The following is a 9917-nucleotide window of genomic DNA, read 5'->3' as shown; positions in this document are numbered from 1 at the left end:
CATTTATTCCAAAAACCACTTTAAAAGTAATTTCTAAAAACAAGAAAATTCTGTTACACACAGTATAATTATGAGAAAGAATAACTTTAACATTGATGCATAGTCCATTTTTAAATTTCATCAAATGCACTAATAATGTTCTTTAGAGCCATACATATTTTCCCATAAGTGGGTTCTAGTATCTCAATTCTAGCCTGGATAGTTCCTGAATTGTTTCATAGTCTTTTTAAAAATCTTCTTGACCTTGATATTTTTGAAAAGTATAGACTAGTTATTTTGTAGAATGTTCTTCGATCTGCGTTTGTGTGATATTTTCTGAATGCTTGGGTTCAGATTTTGCATTTTCGGCAGGAATATCACAGAAGTGACATGGTGCCCTTCCCAGTGTTTCGTATCAGGAGAAACCATGAGGTCACTTTGTTCCAATATAGATGATAGTAACTTTGGCTACTTGGCTAGGGTGGGGTCTGCCAGATTTCTCCATTGTAAATTTACTCTTTCTCTGATAGTAATAAGTAATTTGTGGGAACATACTTTAAGAAGGTGTCAATATCCTATTTCTCATCCAAGTTTCATCCATTAGTTTTGGCATCCATTTGAGGATTCATGCCCAATTCAATCATTACTATGATGATTGCAAAATCACCAGCATTTCTTCTACTTGTCAATCAACTGTGAAGAGGAGCTGTCTTTCTTCCCCTCATTTATTTACTAATTCATCTATATCAGTACAGACTTATAGATCAATGAGTTTTAGTCTATTGCTATCAATGTAATTCTGTGGTTCGAATTGCCTGGGTTTGGCCAACAAGAGCCACTCCAAACTGGTTCTGTGTTGTATTGACATGTCTCCATCATTTTCTAAACACTTTCTGACTTTCTAGCACAAAAGCTCTTCCAGGATCATCTTTTCTGGCTTGAGCCTTAGAATCACCATGTGTCCAAAGACCCCTAGCTCTTTTTAGTAAGGATGGGTATTTGAAAACCCCAGTCTGGGTGCTCAGTGCTGTAAGTGATCAATAAAATATATTCAAGCACAAGGTTGGGGATGCACCAGATACAAATCATCAGAAAGAAAATACAGGATTCAATGGACCAGGGAGGGAGGTAATTTGGAAATTGATTATCCCTTGAATTTGCCGGATGAATTGCCCGATGCAAATTCATTCACCTTCAGAGCTTCATTTGCAAGCGTACACAGTCTGGAGAAACTGGTTGTGCTCTGTTTCTCACAAGAGTTGACTTGGAAATAGTTTGACCAGGGAGCTGTGGCCTCTCCAGTGGTGTTTGCAAAGCCATCACACCGGAGCCACCTTCTGTGCTGCTGAAAGGAGGAGTCGGTGGAGGCAGCAGAAATGACAAAGTGCAGGGCAGCCTGAGCCTCCCTTGCCCAGCTCGGAGCCCCTTGAAATTGGCACGGTGATTGACTTCTTTGGGGGCTCAGAGCGTGGAGGGGAGAGGCCCAGCAGGAGCGCGCGCCTCACTAATTGCATTACGATTGCATGAGATATTGCAAGGTTTACTATGAACTGTTGGCTTCAGAACACAGGCTGGTGAGCTCCGGGAGCAGTTGGCAGCAGGAGAGGAAAAAACGACAATCATTTGAAGAGTCAGCGCGGAGCTGCAGCCAGAGCGTGCGCTCTTGGCCTGGCACTCCAACTTCTGGCTGAGGCGCGCGCTCAGCGGAAGAATCGCGCCGGTTAAAATGTTGGCAGGTTGCAGAAGGTATCTTCTCCTTCTTTTGTCTGGTTTTGATTGCAATAGTTTGGGAAGCTGGCAAACAGTTTGGTTTTGTTCTGAATATATTGGCTAGGAGCCTAAGCCATTTCTTTCTTTTTAAGCTATTTGAACTTGGACCAATCAGCTAGTTCATCAAGATAATTTATCAAGCCAGAACCACAATTAAAAATATTAAGCTTACAAAGCTGGCTTCTGATCTGATTATTAAACCACCTATTACAAATAGCCAAACTAGCACATAGATGTCTCTTTTGAATGCTCTAGTTACGACACCTTCTTAGTTATTTCAGACTACGCGGGTGCTGACCCTTTTAGACTGCAGCCCTAGAGTTTCTAAATAAGAATTTAATTCAAGTTGACTGGGGAGTTTCCTAATGATCCCAAAACTTTTCTTAAGCTGGAGAACTATTTTGTATTATGCCTCTAATAAATATACAGACAAACCCTCGTGCGCACCACTGGGAGAAAGGTTGTCTCCTAGAAGGCACTCAGCATCGTGCTGGCTGTTCCTATACCCAGTTGAACACCTGCGTGATCCTTGGCCACACGCCACCGAAAAATTCAGAATAGCTGACTTTTCAGACCCAAATGAACGTCTCATCTCATTTGAACATTCACCTCAGACCTTTAGAAATTATTGGAAAGCTAACCAATGTTCATAGTGACTATAAATTTAATATTGAATCTAAGTTAGACTAGTATTTTAAATGGTTATTATAAGATGCAAAGCCAAGATTGACTCCATCTATGCAAAAATGTGAAGAAACTTGTGTGGGTCCATGATGACATTCTCTGATGACTTTGTGGATGGAAGAATATCTTAAGGTCTTGCCAATGAGCCAGATGCACTCTTGTTGGGCTTATGTACATTTTGGGAAAGAAAATAAAAATTCTGATTATTGCAAAAATGAGAAATAACAATTAAGTTGCTAAAACCTCAGATAAACATCATTTTGTTGTAATTTATTCATTTATTTAAAATATCTAATCAGAAAAAAAATAATTAACATCCCACATCTCACAGCAATGGCCCAGGGATAAAGAAGTATAAAAATAGCACTGTGCTTGGATCTAAAATGTGTGCTGTTAATACAAATGCGATATTCACATAAGAGTTCTTGATTACCTTAAGTTGATATTACCTCTTTAGCTATGTTACAACTGGCTCCAACTGAATTAAAGAATTTTCTAGATGATCAATGCAGTAAACAGTTTGCCTCCAAAGAGACAAAATGCCAACAAAATAATTACCTCATGGCACTTTATGTCAATTATTTCATTTGTATTTAATTAAAAGCAGTCAAAACAGTTGGCTGAGGCATAAAAATTCCCTTAGCTCTATAGTTTTTAAATTGCCATAAGAGTGTTTTGTTGCCAGGTGTATAGTTGGCCTTTTGAAATAATCTGGAATCTATTTTACAAGCAAACCATTGGCTCTAATATTTCTGTTGTTATTTCTCTGGGGAGACAACTTCCTACGGTTATTCACTATGATCCATTAACATGGTGATGTGGCCAGCATTGGAGGCAAGTTCTTACGTAGCCAGTGGCCACAGGTGGCCTCTGCAGAGGAGCAGTTTCAGGTGGATGGCCAATGGCAGACCCAGGTGAGCGTGTTGGCATTGCTAAGAAGATAATATGGCAAACTGAGGCAATTGAAAATTGGAGAAGGGTTAGACGAGAACTGAAGAGTTTCCTGTACTGACCACAGGAAAGGCGGCCACAGGCAAGGTGTGCTAGCTGCTTGAATAATTTTCACCAGTGTGAAAAACTGAATGTTTTCCTTGTTTATTAAAACTGATCTACTATTACAGTACTGAAAAGCTGAGGTCATTTCCAACATGCTCTTTTCCTTTCCTTCATGTATTCCTCTTATACAAGAGATCACATCTTGTGTCAGCATAAGTAATGCTATCTGCTGTGATGAACATCACCAAACTGTCAGTGCCTTCATATAATGTAAGTTTCTTTGAAAGAGTTCTAGCATTTTAGTCCTGGTAGTCTGTTAAATGGACATTTGAAATTAACCCCACCCCTCAACTGCAAAAGAACCCCCAAAACAATAGGGGGAAGGGCAGGCACTCAGAGGGACTCACCCTGAAGGGGTTGGAATGATAAACCCAGCCATGTTTAGGTGTCCACCAGGGGCTGGGTGGACAATTCTTGCTGTCTTGTAAGTTTTGTGATCCTTTGTCATTTAAAAAAAGTCCATACTAGAAGAGGAAACGATTTTAGAGCCTACAAATATTGCACCTATTTCTCAGGTGCAATATTAAGTAATCTGAAGTCATTTCAGGACATGTCTCTCTTTTTTTCCCTCTTTACTTTGCCTTTTAAGAGTAGCTGCTTGAAATAGGCAAAGCATGTGTGTCACACACATGCTGCCCACAGAGCTTGACCCTATAAGAGACCCTGCTCCAAACCTGTCCCTTCCTATATGCCCCTGTCTAGCCTCTGCCCCACTCCTCACTCCGGAAGGTCCACTCTCCCTGAGGAAAAGGAGCTGGAATTAAAATTTTGGTTTTATTAGACATGTATGCATGTTTGACAGTACATTATGTAGTTTTGTTTAATCTTGGGCTTATAAAAATGGTATCATTCCACATGCAGCCTTCTAGGGCCAACTTTTTTTCACTCACAATTGTATTTCAAGATTCGTCCATGTTGTAAGCAGTTGTGGTCCAGTCACGTAATTTCTGTGCATGTTGCATTCTGTGAATATGTATCTGTTTATAGGCCCCGTTTTCCCAGCCGTGGACCGGAAGGCAGTCTGAGAGATAATTTCCAGTTTGTCCAGCATGAGAAGTTCTGCTGTGGACATCCCTTCACGAGTCTCCTGTGTAGTGTGGGAGAGTTTCCCTTGGCCCACATGTAGGCATGTGATGACTGGGTCGTGAGGTCTTTTATCCATCATCCCCTCACGCCTCCTCTGATTTTCCTTTGCACCCAGTTTCTTCTCTTTTCTCCTGCCTCTGGTCTTCTGCTCCCCAGAGGCACTCATAGGGAGGGCTCAGGTCCTCCTTGGGGTCCTCCCTGGGGCATGGCTTCTTCCCTGTCTCAGGCTAGGAAGACAGTGCTGACACTGGTCAGGTCATGGGCACTTAGTTCACAAGTAGATGTACTTGGGTCTGTTTTGTCTTCCAGGCTTACCCCAGACCCTCGTGGGCTCCAGAGGCAGGGTGGAAAGGAGGGCTCTGTGCCTTCTGCCTCATGTTCGTGAGCAAGACTTTCAAGGCAGGAAATTAGCTGGAAATGAGAGTAGCAGACAGAAAGCACAGAATGTGTCACATTGGACACTCAGTGGAGCAGCCTGGGGAGAGGGGAGAGTTCTGATGGTAACAGGCTTCATGTGTCATCATTGCAGAACTGATGGCTTTCACAACTTTTCTTGTACAATTGAGAGAACTCTCAGTTCCACCAGTGACGTGGGCATGCTCGTAGTAGTAATAATAGTAGTAGCAGTGGTAGCAACAGCAAACTCCGATGGAGCCCTTACTAAAGGCCATTACTGTGCTGCTTGCACTTATACAGGTATGCCTTGTCATTTGCACATCACTTTGTTGAACTTCACAACTTCACAGACACTTTTTTTTTTTTTAACAAATTGAAACTTGGTGGCAACCCTGAGTTCATCAAGTCTGTCAGTGCCATTTTTCTAACATGTGCTCACTTCATGTCTCTGTGTCATATTTTGGTAATTCTTACAATATTTCAAACTTGTTATTATTATGATGTCTGTTATGGTGATCTGTGATCAGTGACCTTTGATGTTACTATTGCAAATGTTTGGGGACATTGTGAACCATGCCTAAATAAGATTGCAAACTGTATTTGTCTTTTCTCACACTGCTAATAAAGACATACCCGAGACTGGGTAACTTATAAAGAAAGAGAGGTTTAATGGACCCACAGTTGCACACGGCTGGGGAGGCCTCACAATCATGGCAGGAGGTGGAAGACACATCTTACATGGCAGCAGCAGCAGGCAGGAGAAGTGCCAGCAGGGGAAATGCCAGACACTTATAAAACCATCAGATCTCACGAGAACTCACTCACTATCATGAGAACAGTATGAGGGAAACCACCCCCATGATTCAATCATCTCCACCTGGCCCCGCCATTGACACGTGGGGATTATTACAAGTCAAGGTGAGATTTGGGTGGGGACACAGAGCCAAACCAAACGATATCATAAACATACTCAATAACTGTGTTGTGTTCAGACTGCTCCACCAATCAGCCACTCCCCATCCTTCTTCCTCTCCTTGTGCCTCCCTTTTTCCTGAGACAAAACAATATTGAAATTAGGCCAATTAATAACCCTGCAATGGTCTCTAAGTGTTCAAATGAAAGGAAGAGTCACATATCTCTCACTTTAAATCAAAAGCTAGAAGTGATTAAGCTGAGTAAGGAAGGGAAGGCGTGTCCACTGCCAAGATAGGCTGAAAGCTGGGCCTCTTGTACCAAACAGCCAAGTTGTGAACACAAAGGAAAGGTTCTTGAAGGAAATTAAAAATGATACTCTAGTGAACAAAAAACATAATAAGAAAGCAAAAAGAACCTTATTGTTAACATGGAAAATGTTTTAGTGGTCTGGATGGAAGATCAAACCAGCCACAACATTCCCATAGCCAAAGCTGAATCCAGAGGAAGGCCCTAACTCTCTTCAATTGTATACTGGCTGAGAGAGGTGAGGAAGCTTCAGAAGAAAAGCATGAAGCTAGCAGAGGCTGGTTCGTGAGATTTAAGGAAAGAAGTCACCTCCATAGCATAAAAGTGCAAGGTGAAACAGCAAGTGCTGATGCAGAAGCTGCATCAAGTTATCCAGAAGATCCAGCTAAAAGCACTGATGAAGGTGGCTATACTGAACGAGAGATTTTCAAGGTAGATGAAACAGCTTATACTGGAAGAAGATGCCATGTAGGTCTTGTATAGCTAGAGAGGAAACCTCAGAGCCCAGCTTCAAAGTTTCAAAGTACATACTAATTCTCTTGTTACAGGCTAAGGTAGCTGGTGACTTGAAATTGAAGCCAAATCTCATTTATCATTCTAAAAATCCTAGGGCCCTTAAGAACTATGCTACTTCTACTCTGCCTGTGCTCTATAATTGGAAGAGCAATGCCTGGATGGCAGAACATCTCTTTGTAGCATGGTTTACTGAATATTTTAAGCCCACTATTGAGACCTACCACTCAGAGAAAGATTCTTTTCAAAATATTACTGCTCATTGACAATGCACCTGATCACCCAAGAGCTCTGATGGAGATGTACAAGGAGATGAATGTTGTTTTCATGACTGCTAACCCAACATCCATTCCACAGTTCATAAATCAAGGTGTAATTTTAACTTTCAAATCTTATTAGGTCAGAAATACATTTCATAAAGCTATAGCTTCCATAGCCTGGACATCATGATTGTCCTGATGCAGCCGGGCAAAGAAAATTGAAAACCTTCTGGAAAGGATTCGCTATTCTAGATGCCATTAAGGACATTCACGATTCATGGGAGGAGGTCAAAATATCAACATTAACTGGATTTTGGAAGAAGTTGATTCCAACCCCCATGGATCCCTATGAGGGGTTCAAGAATTCAGTGGAGGAAGTAGCTGCAGATGTTTTGGAAACAGCAAGGGAAGTAGAATTAGGAATTAAAGCCTGCAGATGTGGCTGAATTGCTGCAATCTCATGATAAAACTGGAAGGGATGAGGAGTTGCTTCTTATGGATAGATGAGCAAAGAAAGTGGTTTCTTAAGATAGAATATATTTTTGGTGAAAATGCTGTGGACATTGCTGAAATTGACAACAGAGGATTTACAATATTACATAAACTTAGTTGATAAAGCAGTGGTAAGGTTTGAGAGACTTGGCTCCAGTTTTGAAAGAAGTTATACTGCGGGTAAAACGCTATCAAGCAGCATTGCATGCTTCAGAAAAATCTTTCATGAAGGGAAGAGTCAACCAATGTGGCAAATTTCATTGTTGTCTATTTTAAGAAATTGCCAGTCACCCCACTTTCAACAACCACCATCCTAATTAGTCAGCAGACATCAACATCAAGGCAAGACTCTCAACTAGCAAAAAGATTATGACTTGCTGACAGCTCATGATCTTTAACATTTTTTAGCATAAGTAGCAATAAGGTATTAACTTTTTATTTTTTAGAGACAGGATCTTCCTTAGTCACCCGGACTGGAGTGTAACAGCATAATCATAGTTCACTATAGCCTAGAACTTCTGGGTTCAAGTGCTCCTCCTGCCTTAGCCTCCTGAGTAGCTGGGACTACAGGCGTGAACCACTACTCCTGGCTAATTTTTTACTTTTAATTCTTTGGGTAGAGATAGGTCCTTACTATGTTTCCCAGGCTGATCTTGAACTCCTGGCCTCAAGTGATCCTCTTGCCTGGGCCTCCCAAAGTGCTGGGATTCCAGGCATGAACCACCATGCCCAACCTTAAAATATTTTTTAAATTCAGACATGTACATTTTTTTAGACATCATGCTATTACACACTTAATAGACCACAGTGTAGTGTAAACACAGCTTTATATGCACTGGGAACCCAAAAAATCCACGTGACCCATCTTACTGTGATATCCACTTTATGGCAGTGGTCTGGAACCAAACCCACAGCATCTCCTTGGTACTCTTGTTGTGATGGTTAATACTAAGTGTCAACTTGATTGGATTGAAGGATGCAAAGTATTGTTCTTGGGTGTGTCTGTGAGGGTATTGCCAAAGGAGATTAACATTTGAGTCAGTGGGGTGGGAGACGCAGACCCATCTTCAATCTGGGTGGGCACCATCCAATTAGCTGTCGGTGCGGCCAGAATAAAGCAGGCAGAAGAATGTGGAAGAACTTGACTGGCTGAGTCTTCCAGCCTTCAACTTTCTCCCTGCTGGATGCTTCCTGCCCTCGAACATGGGACTCCAAGTTCTTCAGCTTTTAGAATCTTGAACTTATACCAGTGGTTTGCCACGGCCTTTGGCCACAGACTGAAGGCTGCACTGTCGGCTTCCCTTCTGTTGAGGTTTTGGGGCTCAGACTGGCTTCCTTGCTCCTTAGCCTGCAGACAGCCTATTGTGGGACTTGTGATCGTGTGAGTCAATTCTCCTGATAAACTCCCCTTCATATGTACATCTATCCTATTAGTCCTTTCCCTTTAGAGGACCCCGACTAATACACCTGCGTATGAATTCTTTAACCTTGCAGCAGTCCTCTGAGGCAAGTACTACCAGTGTTCTCCCAGGGAAGTGGGCTGCTGAGAGTGAGTAAGCTGCCCACCCTCACACAGCCTGTAAAGAGAAGGACCAGGATTCAGCCTCAGCTCCCTCCTTCATGGTCTATACCCCCTGTCATGACCCCAATTGCCCCTCCTGCATATGAATACAGGTGTATTCATATTCACAGAGCCCAAAGGAATGCAAAGAACATGAGACACTGTCTGTGTCTTCAAGGGACTTAGAGCTAACAACCTAAAGCCCTACCTTCTGGTGGTAAATGAGACCTGCAGAAAACAGGATTCATTCCTACAAAGGAAGAGGTGATGTTGCCCTCCTCGGCTGGCTGCTCAGTGTCAGGGAGGTGGTGGTGCTCCCTTCTCTGAAGGAGGGAGTGGGGTTTGAGTGAGAGAGTCCTGGACACTTTCTGCTGTGGCTGGTCTCGCCCAGAGCCCCAGTGTGTCTCACGAAGGGGCACCCCTCTTCCCCAGCACCCCCGTTCTGGGCAGAGTGCCTCAGATGACTTGAGCTATGTTTTCTTTGACCCCGCCAGCTTAGCTTACAGGTCCCAAGTGTGTTTTAGGATCAAAGCAATTGCATGGGTTTGAAGCCATTTGAAAGTTTTCTGAATGATGTAAATTGTTGTTCTATCCACTATAGGAAGGACATAGGTGTGTTTCCCTCTGCCTGAGAAATGTTTCTGAGACATTTTTCCTCCAAGGGAACTAACTAAAACCCCAGGAATGCATGGAAACAAAGGAAAAAAAAGACTCAGAAAACAAGATGGTGTATGAAAATTTTTTAGAACTACTCAAAGTCAGTAATAAAACTTTAGAGTGCTGTAGACTTGGCTGCATCATGAGGGCACCATTAATGGCAAACCTGGCACTTGACATAGAGGACATTTCAAGCAACTTAGCTGAAGTCACCTGCATTTTCTACCCCATATCCATCCCAT

This window comes from Homo sapiens, chromosome 10, assembly GCF_000001405.40.
Source record: "Homo sapiens chromosome 10, GRCh38.p14 Primary Assembly".
In the NCBI taxonomy this organism is placed as follows: Eukaryota; Metazoa; Chordata; class Mammalia; order Primates; family Hominidae; genus Homo; species Homo sapiens.
This window is presented reverse-complemented; position numbering follows the sequence as displayed.